Raw genomic sequence first — 13,276 nt, forward strand, 5'->3', positions numbered from 1 at the left:
ATGAATCAAACTCATGCCACTGACGTTTCTGTGTGTCAAGAAGTGCATGCATATTTGGTATTTAACTTCAGCATTTTTTTTTTGTTTAAGAGACTACGGCCGGCCGGGCGCGGTGGCTCACGCCTGTAATCCCAGCACTTTGGGAGGCCAAGGCGGGCACATCACGAGGTCAGGAGTTTGAGACCAGCCTGGTCAAATGGAGAAACTCTGTCTCTACTAAAAATACAAAAATTAGCTGGGCGTAGTGGCAGGTGCCTATAATCCCAGCTACTCAGGAGGCTGAGGCAGGAAGATCGCTTGAACCCGGGAGGCAGAGGTTGCAGTGAGCCAAGATTGTGCCAATGTACTCCAGCCTCTGGGTAACAGAGCAAGACTCTGTCTAAAAAAAAAAAGAGCCGGGCACGGTGACTCATGCCTGTAATCCCAGCACTTTGGGAGGCCAAGGCAGGCAGATCACATGAGGTCAGGAGCTCAAGACCAGGCTGGCCAACATGGTGAAACCCTGTCTCTACTAAAAATACAAAAAGTTAGCCAGGTGTGGTGGTGGGTGCCTATAATCCCAGCTACTCCGGAGGCTGACGCAGGAGAACGGCGTGAACCCGGAAGGCAGATGTAGTGAGCAGAGATTGCGCCACTGCACTCCAGCCTGGGTGATAGAGTGAGACTCTGTCTCAAAAAAAAGAAAAGAAAAAAAGAAAAAAGGCTGTCCTAGGGTACCTTATTAGTTTCAGGTGACCCCCTGGCCTGAGCGTTGGCCACCAGCAATACCGGCAACCCACGGGCCCTCACATCCAGGAAGGAACTCCGTACCTCAGAGAGGAAGATTCTGCTCCACGGATGATGAGGTGCTGGGAAAGAAAATGCCTCTATGTGGAAAGGCCTCCTGACCCAATGGAGCAGCAGAGAGGGGGCGCGGCAGCAGCTCCACTCTAAGTGACAAGTGTCCGTCTTCCAGGCCCTCGTACGAAATGACACGTACTCGGACCAACACTGTCGTGTTCGTGAAGACGTCATCACACTCCGCTCCTCAGATATGCCCAACTGTCCATCTCATCCTGTCCACTCAAGGGCAGCACTGGGCCCCTCTCCTAGTGACTTCCCGTGGAGCTCAGTACGGAGAGTATGGGATGGTTAGCACGCACTCAATACATCAAATCCGGCCGGGCGCAGTGGCTCACGCCTGTAATCCCAGCACTTAGGGAGGAATTTCACTCTTGTCACCCAGGCTGGAGTGCAGTGGTGTGATCTCGGCTCACTACAACCTCCGCCTCCCAGGTTCAAGTGATTCTCCTGCCTCAGCCTCCCGAGTAGCTGGGATTATAGGTGACCACCACCACGCCTGGCTAATTTTTGTATTTTTAGTAGAGATGGGGTTTCGCCATGTTGGCCAGGCTGATCTCGAACTCCTGACCTCAGGTGATCCACCCACCTCGGCCTCCCAAAGTCCAGGGATTACAGGCGTGAGCCACCATGCCTAGGCAGTAGTTACAAATTCAGCTGAGTCTTCTAGGTGCTAAAGCAAAGAAAATAATTGTGGTTCATAATGAAATTCAAAGTATACAAAAGATAAAAACAAAAGCCTGCCACCCGGTAGGTTTTGAAGGCGATGAGGCACTCACAGTTCAGCTGACATCCATCCATATGATGAGGGCCAGTGTCCACTCTAGATCCCTAAGCTCTGTAGGTTTTGAAGGCGACAAGGCACCCACAGTTCAGCTGACTTCCATCTGTATGATGAGGGCGAGTGTCCACTCTAGATCCCTAAGCTCTGTAGGTTTTGAAGGCGACGAGGCACTCACAGTTCAGCTGACACCCATCCGTACGATGAGGGCGAGTGTCCACTCTAGATCCCTAAGCTCTGTAGGTTTTGAAGGCGATGAGGCACTCACAGTTCAGCTGACTTCCATCCGTATGATGAGGGCGAGTGTCCACTCTAGATCCCTAAGCTCTGTAGGTTTTGAAGGCGATGAGGCACTCACAGTTCAGCTGACTTCCATCCGTATGATGAGGGCGAGTGTCCACTCTAGATCCCTAAGCTCTGTAGGTTTTGAAGGCGATGAGGCACCCACAGTTCAGCTGACATCCATCCGTACAATGAGGGCCAGTGTCCACTCTAGATCCCTAAGCTCTGCAAAGCGCAGGGCCTGTTATCTGTTTTATTCAAGATAAAAACGTTCTTCTTGGCCTGAACGTTTAACGTGCCTCCGGATCATGTGTGAGGGGTGCTCCAAGACCCAGCCACGTCAAACAGAGTCACACTTTGTACACACCTGTGCACACACGTGCACACACAGAGGCCAGTAGGGAGGATAAGAGGGGCCTGAATGTGACCGGCGGGCCTTTGTTAGGGGAGTCGGAGGAAGACACACATCAGAGACCATCACCTCCTGGTGTATAAGGGGAACAGGGATTAGAAGAAACCCAGGATATCTCTGTATGGAGAAAGGATGGAAAATCCACAGCCATCAGGAGGGGCAGGACACGGCGCTCGGTAACGCTTGGGAGAGACCTGGGCCCTACGTAGCTGACTAGCATCTCACCTGTAGCCCCTCCAAGGGCCTCTGGTTGCAACTGGAAGCTGAGGCCGAAACCCCTTCCCACTGTCCAGTTACAATCAGGCAGTCACGTCGCTTTTAATTAACACAGAGTCGTTCTGGGGACGAAGACCTGAATCCCATGGATTAGAAGGACAAAGTACAACCCATGTATTTTTTTAAAGTGCAAAATGCTTACAGCCCCCCAGACCTTCACTGTCCCTGTCATGGTCTCTAAGGAGAGTGCCCTGTGAGGACCAGGCCAGGTCTATCCTGTGACGTTGCAGCCAAGATCCTTCTGCAAGAAAACGTGTCGGCCGGGCCTCTGCACGTGCGGTTCCGTCTGCCGGGACCTTCCCTCCACCATCTGCTTGGTCCGTTCCTACTTGGTTTCCAGATCCCCTGGGGCATCCTTGGTCTTCTCTGGTCTCCCCGACGAGGCCAAATCTCCCTACCCCAGCACTGGCGGCTTCGCATTCAAAGCACTCACAGTTCAACTGACATCCATCTGCACGATTAGGGTGAGTCTCCGCTCTAGACCTATACGCTCTGCAAAGGGCAGGACCTGTATCTGTTTTATTCAAGTCTGTGACTCCAATCCCAGGCAGAATGCAATGGCATCCAGTCAGCCCTCAGTAAAGACATTCACTCAGCAATGAACGAATAAATGAATTAAGAGATGGGAAGCCCTCCTGACCCCCACACAGTGGTAATTCAGCCAGCTATTCAGGACCACTGGCGTAGGGGCATCCCGAAACTTATCTCAACAAACACAGCTCCTACCCCCAGGCACGGGCACCTTAAGTGTCTCTGCAGAGGGCCAGGCAGGAGTAAGCGCTGACCTCCTTGGCATCTCCAACTTGGGGCCTTTTCTTCTGGTCCACTAGGCAACATCATGTCCCTCAACTTTTGTTTGGAAAGCAAACGCTTTCATTTATGCTGTTAACAGGAGGCAGCAGCACCCCCCGACACACCCCAAATTCCCCTAGGATTAACGAATGGATCTAGACTATTAATACTCCAAGTGTGGTCCATGGGCTGGCAACATCAGCACTGCCTGGAGGCTGCTCAGAAACAGTCTCTCAGCTCCCGCTTAGCCCCACCAAATCCAAATCTCCATTTTCAGATCTCCAGGTGATTCTCATATGTACTTGGGATTGAGAAGCACCAATCTAAAATTAAATATTATTTTTTTTAAAACTTCTGCTCCAAACAAACCCATATATGTATTCTAAATGGTGAAGAAAAAAGGTCAAAGAGCCTAATGAGGCCAGACGTGGTGGCTCACGCCTGTAATCCCAGCACTTTGGGAGGCCGAGGTGGGCGGATCACAAGGTCAAGAGATCGAGACCATCCTGGCCAACATGGTGAAACCCCATCTCTACTAAAAATACAAAAAATTTAGCCGGGCGTGTGGTGGGTGCCTGTGGTCCCAGCTACTGGGGAGGCTGAGGCAGGAGAATGGCGTGAACCCGGGAGGCGGAGCTTGCAGTGAACCAAGATTGCGCCACTGCACTCCAGCCAGGGCGACAGAGCAAGACTCCAATTCAGGAAAAAAAAAAAAAAAAAAGAGCCTGATGAGATGCCCCTCAGGCGCAGAACTTCTGGGTAAATCTGGATTTGTCTTTTTTTTCACTCTCTGTAACCCTAGGAGTGCTGAGAACTCAATTATTAGCTGTATCTGTTTACAGCTGACAAGCATCTGCCACTAATGATACAAAGAGAACGCGTTTAACTCAGACTGCCCAGTTACCTGCTTTGTGAAGAGAAAAACCTGGCTGGGTGAAGGCTGGGAAGGAGGTATTCACACGATAAAGAATAAAAATACATTCAGTCTCATTAACAATCATTATTTCCGGCTGGGTGCAGTGGCTCACGCCTGTCATCCCAGCACTTTGGGAGGCCGAGGCGGGTGGATCACTTGAGCCCATGAGTTCGAGACCAGCCTGGGCAACATGGCAAAACTTCATCTCTACTAAAAATACAAAAAAATGAGCAGGGAGTGGTGGTGTGCACCTGTAGTCCCAGCTACTCGGGAGGCTGAGGTGAGAGGATGGCTTGAGCCCTGGAGGCAGAGGTTGTGGTGAGCCGAGATCACGCCACTGCACTCCAGCCTGGGCGACACGGTGAGACCCTGACTTAAAAATATATATATAATTTCTGAAAAACACCATGATTAGTACTCTAAGTCCTAGTTTACAACACTCTCAGGAAATTGATTTTCTCACCGAGAAGGTGATACCCACTCAGCCCTCACTATCACGCCTCTTTACATACTTTACTTATTCATGCTCCCAACAATTCTCTGTGGCAAAGCTTTACCACCCCACTTTGCAGACAAGGAAACTGAGGCCCAAAGACTCTGAGTGATGAAACTGGAGATCACTCTCAAGTCTCTTTCACAGTAAACCTTTGGGATAAGATTCTGGCCAAGTCATTTGGGAGGCTGTGCTCCGTGTCCCAATCATATTAGAATCCACCATGGGCCGGGTGCAGTGGCTCACGCCTGTCATCCCAGCACTTTGGGAGGTCGAGGCGGGCAGATCACGAGGTCAAGAGATCGAGACCATCCTGGCCAACATGGTGAAACCCCATCTCTACTAAAAATACAAAAAATTTAGCCGGGCGTGTGGTGGGCGCCTGTAGTCCCAGCTACTGGGGAGGCTGAGGCAGGAGAATGGCGTGAACCCGGGAGGCGGAGCTTGCAGTGAGCGGAGATCGCACCACTGCACTCCAGCCTGGGCAACAGAGTGAGACTCCGTCTCAAAAAAAAAAAGAAATGCACCATGCTGGACAGTGAGAAGTAGCTGTCTTACTAAGACAGTATTTAGTAGTAGTATTTTTTGAGACAGAGTCTCCCTCTGTTGCCCAGGTTGGAGTGCAATAGCACAATCTCGGCTCACTGCAACCTCTGCCTCCTGGGTTCAAGCAATTCCCCTGCCTCAGCCTCCTGAGTAGCTGGTACTACAGGCACCCGCCACCACGCCCAGCTAATTTTTGTATTTTTAGTAGAGACCGGGTTTCACCGTGTTGTCCAAACTGGTCTCGAACTCCTGAGCTCAGGTGATCCACCTGCCTCAGCCTCCCAAAGTGCTGGGGTTACAGTGTGAGCTGCCATGCCCGGCCTGACAATACTTATTTTTTAAAAATGGCTTAGAATTCACACCATGAAAATTCTACACTGCTGAGAAACATGAAAGGCACATGAATATTCATGGAAATAATGATGCTCTTCTTCTTAAAGGAAAGCCAAAGACACGGTGAGCTCAGGTGAGCAGGTTTCCAGGAGCCACACGGAGCCGGGGCCTGGAGCGCCTACCTTGGATTCCGTACAGCCGGTTGAGGCGCGACCGCCGGGCCTCATCCGTGTAGGGGACGGCGAGCCAGGGCATCTCACTGAAGTACTGTTTGAAGGACTCCTCCGACCTACAGAGAGACACACGTGGCGGGCAAGGCTCAGTATCCCCACTGCACCAACGCTGAATCCTCCCACCTCTGCCGAGTTCTGCCCAGGGATTCTGCAGAAGCCGGGGTTTCTAACCACTGTGCTCCTTAGGCAACAGGCTATGGGAGTGTGTTATTCTACCCCGGCTGGTGTCCACCAAGAAGCAAATGCCTCCACACAGCAGGTGGGTGCCGGCTAAGACGCCAGCCCACTTCAGCAGCTCCCATCCAGGCAACGCAACTCAGGTCCAACTTTCCATTTCTCAGCACAGACAGGTCTTTCTTGCCTCAGAGCTCAGATGTGCACAGCCACTGCATACCCGCGGGAGTTCTAATTTGTGCACGGAACAGTGACTCATATGGGACCTCAAATTTAAACCAACCATATACCTATGATTCCCCATGTAAAAAACCCTAGGAAAGGCACACCTACTCAAGCGGCAGAAGCGGATCAGGGGATCCCAGGGCTGGGTTTATAGGTAGAGACAGACCCATGTGGGGCTGGGGTTTATGAGCGGAGACCGACCCAAGGAACCTACGGAGTGATGAAAATGTTCCGTGTCTTGTCTGTGATGATGGTGGTTACGTGGTACGTACATCAGTCAGCTGAACTGTGTACCTTTGTTCCGTGCCTTGTCTGTGATGATGGTGGTAACATGGTACGTACATTGGTCAGCTGAACTGTGTACCTTAAATGCATGCATTTTACAATATATACATTATGCCTCAATAAAGTTGATGCTTAAAACTTTAAAAAAGGGACTGTGGCCAGGCGTGGTGGCTCACCCCTGTAATCCCAGCACTTTGGGAGGCCAAGGCAGGTGAATCATGAGGTCAAGAGATCGAGACCGTCCTGGCTAACACGGTGAAACCCCATCTCTACTAAAAATACAAAAAAATTAGCTGGGCATGGTGGTGGGCGCCTGTAGTCCCAGCTACTTGGGAGGCTGAGGCAGGAGAATGACGTGAACCCAGGAGGCGGAGCTTGCAGTGAGCCGAGATCGTGCCACTGCACTCCAGCCCGGGCGACAGAGCGAGACTCTGTCTCAAAAAAAAAAAAAAAAAAAAAAGTGATTGTGGCCAGACATGGTGGCTCACACCTGTAATCCCATCACTTTGAGAGGCCAAGGTGGGTGGATTACTTAAGCCCTAGAGTTCCAGACCAGCCTGGGCAACATGGAAAAACCGCATCTCTACTAAAAATACAAAAATTAGCCGGGTGTGGTGGCCGGCGCCTGTAGTCCCAGCTACTCAGGAGGCTGAGGTGGGAGGATCACTTGAACCCAGAAGGTGGAGGTTGCAATGAGCTAAGATCGCACCACTGCACTCTAGCCTAGGCAACAGAGCGAGACTCCACCTAAAAAAAAAAAAAAAAACAAAAAAAAAAACTGACTGCTGCACCTGGCACGGCTTCACGCTGAGACGGGAGCTGTGGCATGGCAGAGACGGGAGCTGTGGCATGGCAGAGACGGGGAGCTGCGGCACGGCAGAGACGGGGAGCTGTGGCATGGCAGAGACGGGAGCTGTGGCACGGCAGAGGCGGGAGCTGTGGCATGGCAGAGCAGGACTGCGGGCCAATAAGCCAAGCCCAGGATGGTGTGGACACCGCAGATACAACAATGTACAAAGTGCCCTGTGTGTGCCGGCATCTCGGATCCTTTTGGGAACAGGAACATAAGCGGCAGAGGCCACTGGTGACTCAGTCTAAACTGGGGCGGGAGTTTTGAGGTGAAGGAAATTCACTGATAAGTGAGGCCTTAGAGAGGGCAATAAGCAGAGGAAACTGAGGCTCAGAGGAGCTGACTGACTCCGGGAAGAATGCCTGTTTTGTGATTCCTTATCCGCGTGTATCCGTGTACATTCAAATAGCACCAGACACAGCAAAGGGCCAGAGCTGAGATAACAGCCATCCGGCCGGGCGCGGTGGCTCATGCCTGTAATCCCAGCATTTTGGGAGGCCAAGGCAGGAGGATCACGGGGTCAGGAGATCGAGACCATCCTGGCTAACATGGTGAAACCCCATGGCTAATACAAAAAATTAGCCAGGCATGCTGGTGGGCGCCTGTAGTCCCAGCTATTCGAGAGGCTGAGGCAGGAGAATGGCGTGAACCCGGGAGGTGGAGCTTGCAGTGAGCCAAGATCGCACCACTGCACCCCAGCCTGGGCGACAGAGCGAGACTCCGTCTCAAAAAAAACCCAAAAAACAAAAAACAGCCATCCAAGACAGGTGTCTGATTACATTCGTCTCTGGCTCTTTTCCATCCTCCCCCTTCCTCCCCCTTCCCTGTCTCTTCACCACAATCTAAAAAGCTGAGCAAATCAGAAAATACGTCCTAATCTCAAACAATCCAGGCCTGAATTGGGACATCCCCCAGTATTTACAGCAAGAAGAGGTTTTCCTCAGCTCCCCTTCAGACGATTAAAGGAGTAAATGTGGCTGGGTGCGGTGGCTCACACCTGTAATCCCAGCACTCTGGAAGGCCAAGGTGGGCGCCTCATGAGGTCAGGAGTTTGAGACCAGCCTGGCCAACATGGTGAAACCCCATCTCCACTAAAAATACAAAAATTAGCCGGGCATGGTGGCGGGCACCTGTAATTCCAGCTACTCAGGAGGCTAAGGCAGGAGAATCGCTTGAACCCAGGAGGTGGAGGTTGCAGTGAGCTGAGATCACACCACTGCACTCCAGCCTGGGAGACAAGAGCAAGACTCTGTCTCAGAAAAAAAAGAAAAGAAAAAAAATGGATGTCAGCTACCTACAGAAAAGGGGCCCAGCACTTCACGGCACGACTGACCTGTCTGCACTAACGAAGATGATCTCGAAGTTCTGGCCTGCCTCCTTGATCTTCCGGTAGGATTCCACCAGGACCCGGGTGAGGCTTCGGCAGGGCGGACACTGAAAGACAGGACAGCAAGACCCGCTGCGTCACGCTGCTTCTCCACCTCCCAGCCACTCACCATCCAAGGCCGGGTTAGCAGGACTCAAGCAGGACTGGGACAGCAAAATCCCGTTCATGAAAGGGGTGGAAATGAGATGGGTATGGTGGCTACCTGGGAGGCTGAGGTCAGAAGATCGCTTGAGCCCAGGAGTTTGAGGCCAGCCTGGGCAACACAGCAAGACCTAGCCTCCTGCATGAGGCAAAAATAAACTTGCCTCTCTTAATGGTGGGCATCTGGCACAAGCACCCGCATTGTCCCTATGCAGTGTGTGAGCAGGTAGCATGAACTCATCCACATGGATTGAGAGAAATATCCAGGCTGGGTGCAGTGGCTCACGCCTGTCACCCCAGCACTTTGGGAGGCCAAGGTGGGTGCATCACCTGAGTTCAGGAGTTCAAGACCAGCCTGACCAACATGGAGAAACCCCATCTCTACTAAAAATACAAAAATTAGCCGGGTTTGGTAGTGTGCGCCTGGAGCCCCAGCTACTTCAAAAGCTGAGGCCGAAGAATCACTTGAACCCGGGAGACAGAGGGTGCGGTGAGTTGAGATTGTGCCACTGCACTCCAGCCTAGGCGACAGAGCAAGACTCTGTCTCAAAAAAAAAAAAAAGGGGGCCAGGCACGATGGTTCATGCTTGTAATCCCAGCACTTTGGGAGGCCGAGGCGGGCAGATCACCTGAGGTCAGGAGTTCGAGACCAGCCTGGCCAACATGGCAAAACCCTGTCTCTATTAAAAATACAAAAATTAGTCAGGCGTGGTGGCATGCACCTGTAATCCCAGCTACTCTGGAGGCTGAGGCAGGAGAATCACTTGAACCCAGGAGGCAAAGGTTGCAGTGAACTGAGATCGCGCCACTGCACTCCAGCCTGGGTAACAGAGCGAGACTCTGGCTCAGAAAAAAAAAAAAGAGGGCTATCGTTATAGATCAGTCAAAGAAGTCATTTCTTGCTGCTTTTTTCATTCATAATCATAAGCACTATTCAACCAGGCCTCGGGCACAGGAGAAGGCCAGAAGGCCGGGAAATTCCTGCCTGGGTGTCTCACCCCCAGAAGCCAACCACAGCTGGGCCTGCTGGGAACATCACTGCTTCCTTCTGTCTGAGCCAAAGGGGGTCCAAACACTCACCCAATGTGCGGAGAAATAGACGCCCACGTGAGACCCCTCCAGGCTGCTGCTCTCCAGAGACTGCCCATTGTTTCTAAGCAAGGGCCCTGCAATGACTTCCCTGAAGGGTTTCGGTCCCCAGGGGAACTCCAGACCTGAAACAGAAAACAGATGGTAAAAGAGGGCTTAGACCCTTCTTGATGACCTGGGACCCAGGAGACTTCAGAGCGGTTAAGACTCTTCTTGATGACCTGGGACCCGGGAGACCTCAGAGCGGCAGGCGTGACAAGATAATCATCAAACAGTACTTGTCAACACACCTACAGCGTCTGCAGCTAACACAGGAATCAAACTAGAGCCATTCCCTGCCCTCCTGGCAACGGTTCCCAAACCTGGATGGGTCACAAGGTCTGTCTTCCAGGGACATTTTTTTTTTTTTTTTTTTTTGAGGTAGAGTCTCACTCTGTCGCCCCGGCTGGAGTGCAGTGGCGCAATCTCAGCTCACTGCAAGCTCCGCCTCCCGGGTTCACGCCATTCCCCGGCCTCAGCCTCCCAAGTAGCTGGGACTACAGGTGCCCGCCACCAGGCCCGGCTAATGTTTTTTTTCTATTTATTTTTAGTAGAGATGGGGTTTCACCGTGTTAGCCAGGATGGCCTCGATCTCCTGACCTCGTGATCCACCCGCCTCAGCCTCCCAAAGTGCTGGAATTACAGGCGTGAGCCACCGCACCTGGCCCTTCCAGGGGCTTTTGAAAAGTACAAACGCCCAGGCCACATCCTGAGGCTGGAGACCCAGGGGCAACGCAAAGATGTACGTGCAAAATGAAACAGGCTCCCCAGAACTGACGAGGGACTCGGTTTGGGAATCATCGCCTCGGGGCCTCGGGAATCAACCCGATACCCGGGATTGTGGATTCACATCCCGGCCGTCACATCCCAGCGGCTGTCAGCTCTGACTGTACTTGGAATCAGCTGGGGAGTTTAAAATACCACGCTCCTGGGCCCCACGCCCAGAGATTCTGATTCTATTGCTCTTGATGGGCTCAGGGAGCCAAGTGAGAATTTAAGTCTAATAAAAGAAAAGAGTAAAACCCACCCAGCCCAGATGGTCCATGTTCTGATGACACCTAAGCTCCAGGTAGGGGGAGTTGAGAATACGCTTCCCGCTCAACTGAACCACGTTTTCTCACAGGGTGGTCCAAGGACCTGCTGCCTCAAAGTCGCTTGGGGGCTGGGAAGGAGGAGCACAGGCTGGTTGAAAATGCAGGTGGTCGGGCCTCCCCGGAAACAAGAGGGATCCACAATGCTCTGGAGGTCGGGCTCGGGATCCACACGGGGACCAGGCTCTGCGGCTCAGCCCCACGATCCCAGCACTTTGGGAGGCCGAGGTGGGCGGATTGCTTGAGCTCAAAAGTTTTGAGACCAGCCTGGGCAAGCCTAGGGAGACCCCGTCTCTACAAATAATAAAAAATTAGCTGGGTGTGGCGGTGCACGCCAGTAGTCCCAGCTACACGGGAGGATGAGTTGAGCTCAGGAGGTCGAGGCTGCAGTGAACCGGGATCATGCCACAGCACTCGGCCTGGGCGACAGAGGGAGATAGTGTCTCAAGAGAAAAAAAAAAAAAAAAAAGAAAAGCTTCACGCTTGGTTCCACCATGCCGTGGTTTTTACTGAGGACAATTCTTTGAAGTAGGTGGCATTTTTACTGGGAAAATGTGTGAGCGGGGTTGAATCTTCTCACTGGACGGATTAAGTGAGGGGAGGAGATCTCACAGCCCTGTTCTCACTCACTGCCAGAGGGAAAGACGCCACGCGGACGGCCCTGAGCGGGGCGGCTGGAGGAGCACAGCCCACGCGTAGCCAGCAAGACCAAGGCCCGCAGGGAGTGACAGCTCCAAGCAACGAGGTGCACTCACCGCCAAGGCCAGGAGAGTGACACGGGGGCTGGGACTTCGCTATGTAATGTTTTAAAGAGGAAAAACCCCACTCAGCCTGCCTCTAACTGTGAAGGGGGCAGCCGCCACGGATGCAGCACTAGAGGCCGGGGTCTGAGCTCTCCGCTTTCCCACAGCCTCTGCGGCCCTCCAAGCGGAGCTTCTTACGGCAGAGTCCATCTCTTTTGGCCCATGAATTAAAGCCCCTAGGAGGGACATTCTGATCCCTGTGAAAATCTTAAAACCATGTCCTAGGGAATACTATGATTTCACCAAGACGACATTCTCTACCACGTAAACCCACGTGTATCTATTTCACCAGTACTCTCTCCACCGGTGGGACGGAGATTAGCCTAAGGGCATGGAGGAGGGAGGGCTGGGTAATAAGAGGACCATATGCACGGGCTGAGGTTTTACCTTCTGGGTCATCTCGGATCACCAGCAGCCCGTTCCTGCACACAACCTTCCCAGTGGTGGCGTCGAGGAATATTAGTGATGGAATGTTGGAAATTCGGTATTTGTTCCAAAGTTTGAGCTGTATGAAGAAAAGCAAAAGAAGGTGGTTAAGTCCAAACCAGATTCATTGCAGAGTTCTTTTGAGCCCCTTAGGTCTGGAGGCTGGATGAACAGGCAAGCATTCAAGCACACAGAAAAGAATAATGGATGCCAAGCAGGGCTGCTGGGCAAAGGGGCACGTTAACTACAATCCCACTGCCCCCCGGGGTCTGTGACAGTGCGGGGGGCTCCGAGGAGGGAGGTGATGGTCCCACTGCCCCCCGGGGTCTGCGACAGTGTGGGGGACTTGGAGGTGGAGGCTGATGACCCCACTGGCCCCCATAGTCTGCAACAGCATAGGGGACTCAGAGGCGGAGGCTGATGGAGGACCACACTCATCCTGGAGAGTACTACCCTTCCACGTCTCTAAAAATCACAAAGATGAAGATGGATTCCACATCTTCAGAACACAATCAGACCACCAGGTGGTTAAGGAAGGAAGGGAAGGTTTTCACGAGAGCCTCGCCACCCTGGCAGCAGGCAACAGCAGCCGCTCTCCACGGCCCCTTCCCCTCAAGGGAGAAGAGACGGGTTTTCTGACAGAAGGCCACGGAGTTAACATCTGCCCCCTCAGCCCTTCACCAGGTCCCTCAGCCCTTCACCAGGTCCCTGCACTTGAAATATCACAGTCGTCGTTACGTTCAGCCCACAAAGCACCAGGGAAGCAATGCCCAGGGCCAGCCCCAACCCTCGGCTCTCGGTGCCGCGTAAAACACGCTTCAGTCTACTGTCAGATTCTTGAGGTTGGCTGTGCACACGGTCA

At 52.6% G+C, this 13,276-nt stretch overlaps 1 protein-coding gene across 6 annotated transcripts in view, besides 1 other annotated feature; it reads right to left on the reverse strand.

The window, feature by feature from the left end:
• NXN (nucleoredoxin) overlaps positions 1 to 13,276 on the reverse strand; it is a 180,467-nt gene that overhangs the window by 14,276 nt on the left and 152,915 nt on the right. For all 6 annotated transcript variants that reach the window (XM_005256756.5, NM_022463.5, XM_005256758.4 and 3 more), the window contains exons 2-5: positions 12,376 to 12,493; positions 10,047 to 10,180; positions 8,772 to 8,872; positions 5,854 to 5,960 (exon numbers count right to left, since the gene is read on the reverse strand). In XM_005256756.5, the coding sequence (XP_005256813.1) occupies positions 5,854 to 5,960; positions 8,772 to 8,872; positions 10,047 to 10,180; positions 12,376 to 12,493 (460 nt within the window). The remainder of the gene's footprint in view (positions 1 to 5,853; positions 5,961 to 8,771; positions 8,873 to 10,046; positions 10,181 to 12,375; positions 12,494 to 13,276) is intronic.
• Positions 9,850 to 10,019: an enhancer, noted in NCBI's record as "active region_11442". NCBI's record gives its function as "activates an Ori minimal core promoter by ATAC-STARR-seq in GM12878 lymphoblastoid cells {active_cell/tissue: GM12878}" and the evidence as "EXISTENCE:reporter gene assay evidence [ECO:0000049][PMID:35858748]".

Source organism: Homo sapiens, chromosome 17 (assembly GCF_000001405.40).
Source record: "Homo sapiens chromosome 17, GRCh38.p14 Primary Assembly".
Taxonomy (NCBI): Eukaryota; Metazoa; Chordata; class Mammalia; order Primates; family Hominidae; genus Homo; species Homo sapiens.